The sequence below is a fragment of the Homo sapiens genome, chromosome 16 (genome assembly GCF_000001405.40).
Source record: "Homo sapiens chromosome 16, GRCh38.p14 Primary Assembly".
Classification (NCBI taxonomy): Eukaryota; Metazoa; Chordata; class Mammalia; order Primates; family Hominidae; genus Homo; species Homo sapiens.
In genome coordinates this window covers 88874796-88887974 of record NC_000016.10, presented here as the reverse complement: position 1 = coordinate 88887974, position 13179 = coordinate 88874796, and the positions used below count along the sequence as shown (strand labels likewise).

Here is a 13179-nt window from a genome sequence, read left to right as displayed (position 1 = left end):
CCACGGTCAGGGAGGCTTTAGCTGGGTGCTTGGCAGAGCAGCGGAGTCCGCGAAAGCCCTTGTAGCTCAACTAGTGCCTCAGCCACCGCCGCCGTCATTGCAAACACCAGTTCCCCAGCCTGAGCGCCCATCTGTGCAGAGGGCAGCTTCAGAAGTTCTGCAGGCAGAACTTCCGTTCAGTGGTGGAGTTGGGGCATTTTGACCAGCTCAGTGTGTGTAGCATTTTAGTGGTGACACCTCCCCGGGTGCCCTGGGCTCCTGGGGACAGAGTGGGGACACTGCCTTGAAGGAGGCACTGCCGGAGGTTCCCACAGTCCCCACCCCATTCCGCAGGCCTTGAGGAAACATTCCCTGCTTGCCGAGGGCTGCTGTGCATCCGGCCCCTACGCTGATGCTGCCCAGTCCTGGGTTCTCTGCACCCTTTCCTGAGCCTGCCCCACACGCAGCCCAAGGGTCAGGCCTTCCAGAAGCTGGGGGATGCAGCCCCACCCACCGCCCCGGCTCCCAGCTGGCCTCAGCTGGCCCCAGCCAGCCAGGGATCCAGATGTTCTCCCCGCCCTAACAGCGACCAGCCGGTTCCCGAACTGACCAAGAGGAGGCCCCTGGGGAGGGGCTGATGAGGGAGGGAGGATGTTTGGCTCCTCAGACCTCCCGGGACCTCGTTTCCCAGCTCATGCTCCTGATGTCCTCAACAGATGGCCGGTTGGCCCCTGTTCAGCCATCCAAAGAGAAAAACAGGCCGGCAGCCGGCACTGCTCGAGGGCCTGGTGGATGCACTCGTGGGGAATGGGGAGGCGCTGGCAGGAGAAGGCGGCGTGGCAGCTTTGAAACGCATGAGAAAGTTGGGGAATTGGATTTATTTACAAATGCTTAGAACCGCTGGCTCTCCCAAGTGGCCTGCTGCTGGGCCCTGGTCCAGCATGCTCAGGGTCCAGCACGCCTGTCCGCCCTCCCGCGGCAGCTCTGGGAAGACTTTGGGGAAGGCACCCGAGGAGCCCGGCTTGCGGCCCAGCAGTGCCAGCCTGGAGCCAAGGACGAGGCGGCGGGCGCCGCGGGTACACACAGGCGTCAAAGGCAGGGTCTGCATACGGATCCCGTACACCGGGCCGTCCTTCGGCCGCATGCTGCGGAGTCTTTACCCGCACACGTGGGTCTTGAGGCCGTCCTCACCAAGGCTGGAGGATCACTTGAGCAGCCACAGAACGTGGGTGTCCACGTCCTAGGTCCACGCTCCATCAAGGCCAAGGCTGGAAACCAGCGGGAAGGGAAGGGGAAGCTGAACCTCAGGGCTTCCCATCAGGGCTGGAGCAGACACACTGCAGGCAATCCCAGCTGGGTTTCACTCCCAGCTCCCTCGTGTGAGCCGCCTGTAGGCCCAGGGCTGCCTCCCCCTCTCTGAGCCTGCATTTCCCCAGCTGTGTTGGGTCATGTGGTGCCTGCTGGGCAGGGCGGGTGCAGGCGGGAAGACCAACCATGATCTGCTGCCCCTTCGTCCTCTCGCCTTCTCCAGACCACGCCATGGGAGGGAGCTGGGTGCGGTGGGAAAGCCCCACCCTGGGAGTCCAGGATCTGGGCTCAAGTCCCACATGCCCCACATCGCCGTGTGGCCCAGGTGAGGCACTCCTGCGAAGCTCTGTGCCCACCCTCCCACGCCACCCTCCCATGGCACTGCTAGGAAGGAACTTGAGGCCCAGAGAGGTCGAGCACCTTGACCTTTGAGGCCCGAGGTCAAGTTGAGCTTTCGGCCACCCAGCCCAGGCCCCCTCTGCTCGGACCTGAGCAGGGCTGTGCACCCCTGCATGCTACCCAGGCCCTCCTTCCCCACCCCACAGGCAAACCTGCCCTTGCTGCAGCGGGAGCTCCTGCACTGTGCACGCCTGGCCAAGCAGACGCCCGCCCAGTACTTGGCCCAGCATGAGCAGCTCCTGCTGGACGCCAGCGCCTCCTCCCCCATCGACTCCTCAGAGCTGCTACTGGAAGTCAACGAGAACGGCAAGAGGAGGACGCCCGACAGGTACCTGTGGGCTCCGGGGATCTGGGCTGGGGGTGCCGTGGACACGCGGCTCACCCTGCTCCCCTCTGGGTAAGAGAGGGAACCTCCTCTGGGGCTGCAGCCAGCCCGGCCGGCTCTCTCGGGCTGAGGGAGCGTGGCGAGGTGTACTAGGGCCAGCAGGCTTGGTGGCTGCACGGGCGGACACCCCAGTGGGCTGCAGACTCAGATGCTCCGGGGAGCCTAGGAGGACAGGGAGGAGGCTGGTGGGAGGACGGCTCTCCCCTGTGTGCCGGGCATGGACTCCGAGCGTCCGGGGTCCATGGTCCCCAGGTGCCTGGGCTGGGCCCCCTCTGCTGCCCCAGACGCTCTTGTGCTGCTGCTGCCCAAGGGGCAGGTGGTCTCCAGTTACGGAAGCCTGGTGTATCCCTCTCCTCGTTCCCAGAGCAGCGAGTCCGGCTCTTTGACCACCAGGCCCCAGGATGCCATGCAGCTGGAGCAGGGGTTGAGGCTGGCATGGGCCCCGGCAGAGGGGCAGAGAGTGGGGGCGCCGGGCTGGGCTTCCCGGGGCTGGTGTTTTGCTCCGTGTTTCTGTCTCGCCCTTACGTGTCCTCTTTCTCTCTGCCCTTGCCTGTCTGCCTCTCACCCCACCTGCACCTCTGTCCCCGGTTCATCCTATGTCCACTGCCCTCGCCCCACCTGCTCTTGGGGCTAGGACCAAAGAGAACGGGTCAGACCGCGACCCGCTGCACCCCGAGCACCTCAGCAAACGGCCATGCACCCTGAACCCTGCCCAGCGCTACAGCCCCAGCAACGGGCCACCGCAGCCCACACCGCCGCCGCACTACCGCCTGGAGGACATAGCCATGGCCCACCACTTCCGAGATGCCTACCGCCACCCAGACCCCCGGGAGCTACGAGAGCGCCATCGGCCGCTTGGTGAGCAGCCCGGTGGGGCGGGAGCGTGGACGCGTGTTACAGGAGCACACATGCGCCCACATGTACACCTGAGCATGTGGGCACAGGGCACCACGGGCAGCTGTGTGCACCTGAGCTCGGGAGACCCCTTCCCCCTGCCTGGCATTCCCCCTGGAGCAGAGCGGTGGCTGCAGAGGGGCCTGTCCTGGGCCCTGAACCCACCTCTCCCCCCGGGGTGGGCGGCCTCGGGCCTGGAACTGCCCACGTGGTTCTCATCCGAGCTTGGCGATTCCCACAGTCCACCCACAGGTGAGTCACGTGGCTCTCTGCTTCTCAGTTTCCTCCTCTGTCACCTGGGCCAGACGAGAGTCCCAACTCTCAGAGTCCAAGGCCTGGGGGAGTTAATGCAGGGCCCAGCAAGGGCTGCCGTGAGGCCTGGCTGGTATCTAGAGCAGGAGAGGGGCACAGAGTCTCTGCGTGAGGCCAGGCTGGTGTGGATAACAGAGAGGTGGGCACGGAGTCTCGGTGCATTTTATCCTTCACTCGTTTCTGAGCCCGTCAGTGGGGTGGCGTCAGCACCCCCATACCACAGATGAGGAGACTGAGGCCTGAGAGCACACATAATGCACCCACAGTCTCACAGCCCAGCCTGCCTGACGTTTTGACGGCCTCTGTGCTGAGAACCCAGAGATGGTCAGGCCCAGCCCCACCCCAGGAGCCCCCCCAGGACAGGCTGCAGGGAGGCCTCCAGTCTGCCATGCTGAGACAGAGGCCCAGGGCCCGGTGGGGGCCCAGCAGCAGGGTCAGCAGAGGCCTTGCCCTACACAAGGCCATCTCCCAGCCCCCACCTTGCGGAGGGTTCCAGGGCCCAGGCAGCAGGTGACGGCGTCTGGCATGCTGCAGCCGGGTCAGGCAGGTGCTGACTCCCACCCGATTCTGCTAATACAGAAATAAACGCCAGCTGTCGGGCACGTCTCAGCCACTATTTTGGTTGGGGTGTTGCTGCCAGCTGCAGCTTCACAGGCGGCAGAGCAGGCTGGTGACTGAGCTGTGGCTGCCACTTCCCCACCTCCTCTGCAATTTGGGGGAGCCATTTCAGGTTCGGAGGCTAGGAGATCTTTAGGGGCTGAAAAGGGCCCCAAGAGGGAGACCTCAGCCCCAGAAGCGTGGGCAGTGGCCAAATGCAGAAAACAGTGGGGCCTGGAAGCCTCTGATGTCTCCAGAAGTCGTGGGCGCAGCTACCACGAAAGAGTAAGCCACTGCCGGGCGTCACTCACGTCTCCCGTGGGCACAGCCACCGCAGAAGAGTTGGCCACTGCCGGGCATCACTCACGTCTCCCGTGGGCGCAGCCACCGTGGAAGTCGGCCACTGCCGGGGTCACTCACGTCTCCCGTGGGCGCAGCCACCGCAGAAGAGTCGGCCACTGCCGGGCGTCACTCACGTCTCCCATGGGCACAGCCACGGCGGAAGAGTCGGCCACTGCCGGGCGTCACTCACGTCTTAGTTTCTGGTGACCTGTGGGAGTGGCCTCTGCGGCTTCAGTCCTGGAGCCTGTCAAAAGGGAAAAACCTTAGACACGCTGTATTGAACAGAGTTTAACTGAGCAGAGAACAACCCCGAATAGGATGGGCCTCAGAGCCAGCGTGTTCCGAGAGCCCTGGCCTCGGCTTGGCTGGCGGTGTTCACAGGCAGAGACAGGAGGCGGGTGCCGAGGCCACGTGGTTGGGTGGTGTTTGGCGTGGCTTCATCGGAGTCATGGGCGCCTGCGGGTGACCGCAGAGGGCTGCCGCGAATGACTGAGACCAGCTCCTCCCAGTGAGGTTACCCATTGATTCACGGACTAAGGCAGGTCCAGGTCATGGTGTGACTTGGCACTGAGGCATCCTCAGGCCACGCTTAGTCTAACAAAGCCTTCCCGGCCAGTGGCTGAGGACACTGCTCCAGCTCCAGCCAGCCTCGGTCCACACCCCACCCCCACCGCTCCCTGCCTGGTGACCACAGGCAAACACATCCTCTTAACCAGCCTCAGTTTCCTCAGCTGCAGAATGGGACTGAGACTGAACCCTCCCTTGGAGGCGTGTGCCGTGTTGCAGGGGAAGAGCAGTCGGCCCAGAGCCCCAGGCGGCTCAGTAACCCAGGCATCCTCCACGGTCACCAAGTCAACCAGCCCTTCGGTTACCCTGTCCATCGTCCCCAGCGGGCACAGCCCACGGGTGGGGCCTGGGAGCAGAGGGCGGGGTCTGGGAGAATAGGGCAGAGACTGGCTGTGGGTGGGACCTAAGCGTGCACCTCCCCCATCCACAGTGGTGCCTGGGTCCCGGCAGGAAGAAGTGATCGACCACAAGCTCACAGAGCGTGAGTGGGCAGAAGAGTGGAAGCACCTCAACAACGTGAGTGTCCACACACAGCCACGCCCACACAGCCATGCCCAGGCGCACAGCCACGCACACACACAGCCACGCACACACAGCCATGCACACACAGCCACGCCCACAGCCATGCCCACACACAGCCACACCCATGCACACAGCCATGCCCACACAAGCCACGCCCACACAGCCACAGCCACGCCCGTGCAGTCACACACAGCCACCCCCACGCACACAGCCACGCCCACGCACACAGCCACACCCACACACAGCCATACACACACAGCCACACCCACACACACAGCCATACCCATGCACACAACCCCCCCATGTACACAGCCACACCCACGCACAGCCATGCCCACACACAGCTACACCCACACAGCCATGTCCCCACACAGCCACACCTGTATGCCTATGCATAAACACGGCCATGGCTCTGCCCCATGGGGCCTGGGGCTGCTGGAGACAGCAGGGCTGTGTGGGCGCCCCTGAGCTCAGTGCCCTCCTGTGTGGCCTGCGCCGTCCCTGCGCAGCGGCTGGGTCCTTCACCTGAGCCCCCCTCCTCCCAGCTGTCAGCGCAGCCCAGGCATCTCGAGAGGCCCAGGGAGGAGGATTCCTAAAACCCTCATGGCGGGCCTTGCTTCCCTCCACTTACTTTCTGCTCACTGGCTCTTCCCAGAGTCTATCCTGAGTCTTGCAAGAAGTGTGGGCAAAAGCAGTGCCGAGGCCTCTTTGAGGCAGGACGTGTTCGGGGACGGCCCGGAACTGGGCTCCTCAGAACCCACCCACCCCATCCTGCAGCACGTCCCAGGAGGGGTCGCCAGGCATGGGGCCAGCACCCCTCCCAGCACTGTTGTCAGCCTCGCCCCTCGCCCTCATGCTTTTTGGAAGGGGAGCCCAGGCGGAAAGCCAGGTCCCTGAGGCAGAGCCCCGCTGAGCGGGTTAAAAAGGAGAATCCCAAACTCCTGCGTGCGTCTAGGCACGTGTCCATGTGAGTCTGGTACCCCCAGGCGCTCGGCAGTCCCAGGCTAGGGACCCATCTTTGCAAGCCATGGAGGTGGGCCCTCCCTCACCCCCTTACTCTCACGGGCGGTGGGCTGGTCGGGCACCCATCCTGTCCGGGGCTCTGGCCGAGTGGGCTGGGGGAGTGTCTGGTGCGTCCCGGTCCCTCTGAGGTGCTGAAGGCTGCGCCGCCCGCCCCCAGCTCCTGAACTGCATCATGGACATGGTGGAGAAGACGCGGCGCTCGCTCACGGTGCTGCGCAGGTGCCAGGAGGCCGACCGCGAGGAGCTCAACCACTGGGCGCGGCGCTACAGCGACGCCGAGGACACAAAGAAGGGCCCCGCTCCCGCCGCGGCCCGGCCCCGCAGCAGCTCCGCCGGTCCCGAAGGGCCTCAGCTAGGTGCGTGTGGGGTGTGGGGGGAGGGAGCAGACACGGGGTGCTCTGGTGGGGCGGACACCTGGGAGCTGTCAGGCAGGCAATGCAACGAAACACCAGGCAGAACAGTTTCGCTTGAGAAAGAGGCACCTTTTTCACTTTGTAGGAAAACACGGGCTGGTCTGCCAGGAAGCCTGGAGCTCAGAGCGTCTGGTGGGCCAGAGGCTCGGAGCTGGGAGGCCCTGAGGGTCTCTGCTTCTCCGCCTCAGCGACGAATGCTGACACAGGAGAGGCCCAGGACACACACGGCTCCCAGCCGAGTCCAAGGTCCACAGCTCCAATGCCCCCCGTGCCCGGGCACTGCCCTGGGTGCCTGAGCCAGACCTTGTCCGAGGGCACCTGGGCCTCCCCCCAGGGACGCACACACTCACGCCCTGCACTCAGGGCCCAGCCAGGGTGGGGAGGGCCCCAGCGTGGGAGGGGCAGCCGCGTGGCCCATCCTGTGTGACGCCGGCCCCTGTTTCAGACGTGCCTCGCGAGTTCCTGCCGAGGACCCTCACCGGCTACGTGCCTGAGGACATCTGGAGGAAGGCTGGTGAGTGGGGGTGCAGGGGCCTGGCCAGCAGAGCTGTGGGAGGCCAGGGCCCCAGATGCGCCTCTCACCGGCTCAGCTTTGAAGAGCTTCTGTCTCTCTCTGGGGGCTCAGGCTACAAGGCTTTCTGCATTCCGCTGTGTGGCTCACGGAGAGGTCAGAGTAGGTTCACACTTAGGGCAGGACAGCTGCTACCTGCGCCTACCAGGAAACGGACCGGTGGCCGCCCAGCAGAATAAAGTGGGTCCTGGACCTGCACACCCAGGAGGGCACGCAGAAGCGCACACACTCGGAGCCTGGGCGCGTCAGGCACGCGGGGCCAGAGTCCGGGCAGAATGGGGTCAGAACAGGGGCAGACGTGGAGCTGAGCGCTGGGCAAGGCTGTGGGGACATTTGCTCATGCCGTGGGAATCAGCCTTGGGGGAGGGGCTGGGGCAGAGCCAGATATGTGGGCAGCAAGAGGGGTTAGGGTTGGGGTTAGGGTTAGGGTTAGGGTTGGGCAGCGGTACCGGGGTCTCCAGCTGGCCTCAGGGTCTCTTTCAGTGGTGGAGTTGAAACATGGCCTCCCCAGCTGCGTGGGCAGTGCTCCCTGGAGGCTGCTCTGAGCCTACCCCATCTTAGCACAGATCAGGATCTGTGTGTGGCTGTGTGTGGGTCGGGGAGCATGGTCTTCAGAGGCCAGCCAGGTTAAAGGATGGCAAGTGCGGTGAGGATAACAGCAGGGTCTGGGGTGACAGCACAGAGCCCTGGACGAGGGGGCTTCCTGGGCTGCGTCTGGGTGGGGCCAGAGGTGAAGGCGGAACGGCAGAGTTATCCAAGTGCTTCAGGTCAGCAGCAGCTCCCCCGGCTCGCGTTAGGAATGCAGATTCCGGGTGCGCCCCTGGCTGACCAGGCCCTGGGGTGGGCCTCGCCCTTGCCCTGCAGGGGTGCAGTGCCTGGGGAGCCGCTGCGGTAGAGTGCAAGCTTTGACTTGTGACACCACGTGACCCAGCTTTGCACACACATGCCTGGGATGCCTGTGTTTATTTGCATGCACTTGTCTGCACAGGCATGAGGGCCATCAACGTGTGTCTGTGTGTGCACAGATGCTACGTGTGTTCAGCTGCCTACAGCCCCATCAACATGTGCCTTTGTGTGCACAGATGGTACGTGTGTTCAGCTGCACACAGCCCCTGTCCCCAGGTTGTGGCCACGCGTAGGAAGTCCAGAGACCCATCTGGGATGGCCCATGTGACCGCCAGCCCTGCCCATGTCCTTTGCAGAAGAGGCCGTGAATGAGGTGAAGCGGCAGGCCATGTCGGAGCTGCAGAAAGCCGTGTCGGACGCGGAGCGCAAAGCGCACGAGCTCATCACCACGGAGCGTGCCAAGATGGAGCGGGCCCTGGCCGAGGCGAAGCGGCAGGCCTCCGAGGACGCCCTGACGGTCATCAACCAGCAGGAGGACTCCAGCGAGGTAGGGCCACCCGGCCACGCTGACACCCATCCCCTGCCTCGGCTCCCGTGCGGTCCCACGCCACCCCCATGAGGATTCTGAGCCTCCACGTGGCATCAGCACAGTTGTCACGGGCATCCTGCAGCAGGCACGCCATCCCCGCCCACACTGTGCTTTATCAGCACAGAGATCCCACATGGTTCAGTGAGGCGTCCTATGGATGTCCCCGTTCTGTAGTTCCAGAAACTGAGGGCTCGAGAGGGTTGGCAGCTTGTCTGAGGTCACGGCCTTGGGAAGCGGTGGGGCCAGGACTCGAGCCCAGGTTGGCTGATGCTGAGATGGAGTTTCACTCTTGTTGCCCAGACTGAAGTGATCTTGTTGCTGTGGCATGACCTCGGCTCATTACAACCTCCGCCTCCCGGGTTCAAGCGGTTCTCCTGCCTCAGCCTCCCAAGTAGCTGGGATTACAGGCGCCCGCCACCACACCTGGCTAATTTTTGTATTTTTAGTAGAGATGGGGTTTTGCCACGTAGGCCAGGCTGGTCTCGAACTCCTGACCTCAGGTGATCCACCCGCCTCGGCATCCCAAAGTGCTGGGATGACAGAAGCGAGCCGCTGTGCCTGGCCTGAAACCCGTGTTCTCTAGCCTGTGAGAACAGGAGGATCCAGGAGAGCTGTGAGGGCCCCAGGTGGCGTCCGAGGCGCCCGGCTCCCTCCCGGTGCACACGGCAGGCCTGAGAATTACGATGCTTGTGCCCGTGCACCTGGGAGGCAGGCGGGGGCAGAGGACCCTCCGCGACCCTTTTCTGCCTTGTCCACGAAGAGGGGACAGGGAGAGACCCTTTCCAGGGGAGCCCCAGGACTGTCCCTTGAGATAGGGCGGATCTCTATCTGAAGCCCCTGTGTGCATCTGTGCCTGGGCCAGCCCCGGGGTGGGAGGAGATGGAGCCCCATCGATTCAGGGGTCTCTGCACCGGCCATTTCCACGCCTGCTCTCAGCTAGGGAGAAGCTAGACCACCACAGGCACAACTCTCACAGAGCTGGCACTGAGAAGGAAACACCAAACGCAGAAGTGAGGCGTGCAGTTTCGGGAGGTGGAAGTGTGTGGGGAGTGGGGCTGTGGAGGCCTCACGGCAGGTGACACCTGAGCAGATGCCGGGAGGAATGAAGCTGGCCACGCAGGCATCGGGGGAGCGGGCCCAGCGGAGGGACCGGCAGGGGCCAGGGCCTGGAGCGGGGACTGTGCCTGGCAGTGCCTAGTCCGCAGGGAAGCTGCTGCTGCAGTGGCAGTGAGGGCGAGGTGGGGTGGGAGGTGGTACCAGAGGCTTTGGAGGCCAAATAGGGACCTGGGCTTCTCCCCTAGGGCAGGTTTGGGCTTCCCACCCCACAGCCCAACCGTCTGTGAGAGATCCAGCCAGGCCCCAAGAAGAAATATGCTCAGGCTTTGTGTGGCATCTCCTACCTGCTCTGCCCACAGGCTTTTTGTGGCATCCCCCACCCCCTCTGCCCACAGGGATGCCTAGGGCACAACTCACCCTACGGGAAGGGAGCAGAGCCCACCACAGGGTGGGGGCAGAGGTGGAGGGGGTGCAGCAGAGGCAGGGGTGGGGCAGAGGTGGGGAGGGGGACGGGTGGGTGTGGATGCAGCAGAGGCGGATGGTGAGATCTCAGCAGCCTCAATCCTGCCGGGGCCACGCCCTTTGGTTTTGCGGTTTTGGAGCCTGGTGAGCTCAGGAGGGCTTCCTGGAGAGGAGGCAGGGGTCGTTGTCCAGTTAGCACAGCGCAGACCTATCTGGGTGGGCTGGAGCGTGAGACACGGTAGTGGGATGCCGTCCCGCAAAATGGCCCAGTGAGTGGCTGTATCTGGAGCATGGCCCGAGGGCTGTGGGGCTTTGGAGTTTCTCTCTTCTCACCTGGTGATGACGTGGCTGGGTCTGAATGGCTTGGTTGAGGCGTGTGTTGGGGATTCGGGTGGCCAGACCCAGCCCTGACTGGCCCCTCTGCCCCCACCCAGAGCTGCTGGAACTGCGGGCGGAAAGCCAGTGAGACGTGCAGCGGCTGCAACGCGGCACGCTACTGCGGGTCCTTCTGCCAGCATCGGGACTGGGAGAAGCATCACCACGTGTGTGGCCAGAGCCTGCAGGGCCCCACAGCCGTGGTGGCCGACCCGGTGCCTGGACCGCCCGAAGCCGCCCACAGCCTGGGCCCCTCCCTGCCTGTGGGTGCTGCCAGCCCCAGCGAAGCCGGCTCTGCGGGGCCTTCTCGCCCCGGCTCCCCCAGCCCACCTGGCCCACTGGACACCGTGCCCCGCTGACCCCACTGGCCCCTGGCCTGCCGGACACAGCACCGTGCCAACCCCACCCAGCTCCAGGCCCACCGGATGCTGTGCCTGGCCTCCGATGCCTGGCCTGCCAGACACTGCGCCCCGCCTGACCTGGGGGAGCCGACCAATTAGTCACTGCTGCTACTGCCCCTCTCCGAAAGAAGACACAGAACCAACAAAACCGCATTCAGTGCACCTGCCTCAGCTACCTAATGATTCCGCGCGGAGACCTCCTGACAACGTCTCTTCAAGCATCCTCAGAAGCCTCGACTGAGCTTTAGACAGCAGAGCAGATGCCGCAGGCGCGGCGGCTCTGCCCACCTCTCTTTTCCTCTCTGTCTGTCTCTCCCCCTCTGTCTTCTCTATCCTCTCTCTCTCTATGACTATCACACACTTTCTCTTCAATGAAAAAATCGAATTGGTGGCTTATATTTTCAGCAAAGAATTTTGGGGGGTTTTGTGTGTTGGCAAAAGAGCTACTCAGAAATGGACAAAGAAAACGGGGGGGTTCTCCCCCTCCTGATTAAAAAGGGAGAAAGAAAACTGCGATTTTATAGCTGGAGATCTGAACCCAGCTGTGCCCCTCCCCCAGGGGCGTGAGGCTGATCAGCGAAGACGGGAGGAAAGATTTCGATTTCTGACTCAAGATGCATTTTTGGTTTCAGATTTTTTTTTCCTGTAATGTTAAACTCTTTGGCTTTAAGTAAAAATCCAAAAAGTTTTTTTAAAAAAGCAAAGGAAGCATACTTGTGAACTACCTTGCTAGCTAGCCAGCCAAGGATACCGGACACACCTCTGCTCCAAAGGAAATCCAAAAAAGCAAACACAAGAAATCAAAATCCAAAATTTGTTTGTCACTGCCAAAGTATTTTTTTCACTGTTTCACTTGCTCTTGGGTTTGTTTGGATGTGGGTCTTTTTCTCTTCTGTTCTGATTTTGTTTGTGGGTGTCGGGATATTTGGGTGCAGAGGGTTTGTGCCCAGTTAGAAGCGACTTTTGTTCTCTTCTGCGTAGGCGTTGGTGCGTCCGCCGCGTGTGCGTGGTCCGTGTGCCGTTGCTCCGGCCTGCGTCTCCATATGTGTAGGAAAGGACACGCCGTCTGTCCTCACGCCCCCTGTGACTTTTCATATTTCCGTTTTCCACTTGTGGAAAAAAAGTGCTAAAGTTTTCTTCCCAGAGAGAGCATAATTCCGAAACAAAACTGTGACAATCTTTTGGGTTGATTCTCGACTGCTTTTCGAGCATGCGGAGCCAGCAGGCCTCCCTGAAACACTGCTTCTCGGCCAGCCCGTCCTCCTCTACCTCTCTCCTCTCCGCGCCCTCCGACCTCTCTCGGCCCCCTCACCCCAGCTCCGACCTCTCTCAGCCCCATCGCCCCAACTCCAACCTCTCGGCCCCATCGCCCCACCGCAGCTACTCCCCTTTCTTCCAAACTTTTGCAGAAAAAACAAAAAAACTACAAACAAAAGCAGCCCTCTGCCTCCTCCCCAGGGAAGACCCTGACCGTGTACATAGCCCTGGTGCTCCTGCCCAGCCACCCCTCAGATGCGTTCGCCTCTGGCCCTGGGGTGTGTCTCGGTGACGTTTTCTATCAGACGTGCTCCCTCCCATCCTCCAGCCCTGCCCACCCTCCCTCCACTCCTCTCAACTGCCTCAGCGATTTCAAGAAGGAAATAAAGGGATAAAGAAATTCATGCTTGCACCGAGTACAAGGACAGACAGCAGGCACGGCCCGCAGCCTGGCATCTGTGCGTGTGGCGTGGCCCGTGGCTTGGCATCTGTGTGCGTGGTGTGGCCCGTGGCCTGGCATCTGTGTGCGTGGCGTGGCCCGTGGCCTGGCATCTGTGTGTGTGGCGTGGCCCGTGGCCTGGCATCTGTGCGCGTGGCGTGGCCCGTGGCCTGGCATCTGTGTGCGTGGCTATCAGGAGTTCTAGGAACTCAGTGCAATACGGGAGTGACCCAGCTACTGAACCAGCCACGAACAGCCCGCCAGAGGCCTGAAGCTGAGCGTGTACGTTAATGTGAATGTATATAGTCTTTGCAGAGGTCCAAATGATATTCATGATGGTAATAAACGAGATGTTTGCCAAATAAAAAACAGAAACCGCAGGAGTTTGCGAAGTGTAGGAAACAGATTTTCAAAGAAATCCGAACAGTGGCCCCGAGGGGAG

At 62.5% G+C, this 13179-nt stretch overlaps 1 protein-coding gene and 1 long non-coding RNA gene across 7 annotated transcripts in view; one reads left to right on the top strand and one right to left on the bottom strand.

Annotated features, from left to right (window-relative positions):
• CBFA2T3 (CBFA2/RUNX1 partner transcriptional co-repressor 3) overlaps positions 1-13117 on the top strand; it is a 102350-nt gene extending 89233 nt beyond the window's left edge. For 3 of the 6 annotated variants that reach the window (XM_005256323.6, NM_005187.6, NM_175931.3), the window contains 7 exons: positions 1833-2014; positions 2706-2929; positions 5214-5299; positions 6486-6684; positions 7187-7255; positions 8515-8705; positions 10700-13117. In XM_005256323.6, the coding sequence (XP_005256380.1) occupies positions 1833-2014; positions 2706-2929; positions 5214-5299; positions 6486-6684; positions 7187-7255; positions 8515-8705; positions 10700-10999 (1251 nt within the window). In that variant the 3' untranslated portion in view covers positions 11000-13117. Of the gene's footprint in view, positions 1-1832; positions 2015-2705; positions 2930-5213; positions 5300-6485; positions 6685-6826; positions 7256-8514; positions 8706-9683 lie in introns of those variants that run through there. The other 3 variants (XM_047434826.1, XM_011523419.4, XR_007064926.1) reach the window with 3 other exon arrangements.
• On the bottom strand, positions 839-4460 carry LOC101927793 (uncharacterized). Its single transcript, NR_135194.1, has 3 exons — positions 3757-4460; positions 3131-3354; positions 839-2233 (listed from the first exon to the last, which is right to left on the bottom strand). It is a non-coding gene; the product is annotated as an uncharacterized LOC101927793 (long non-coding RNA).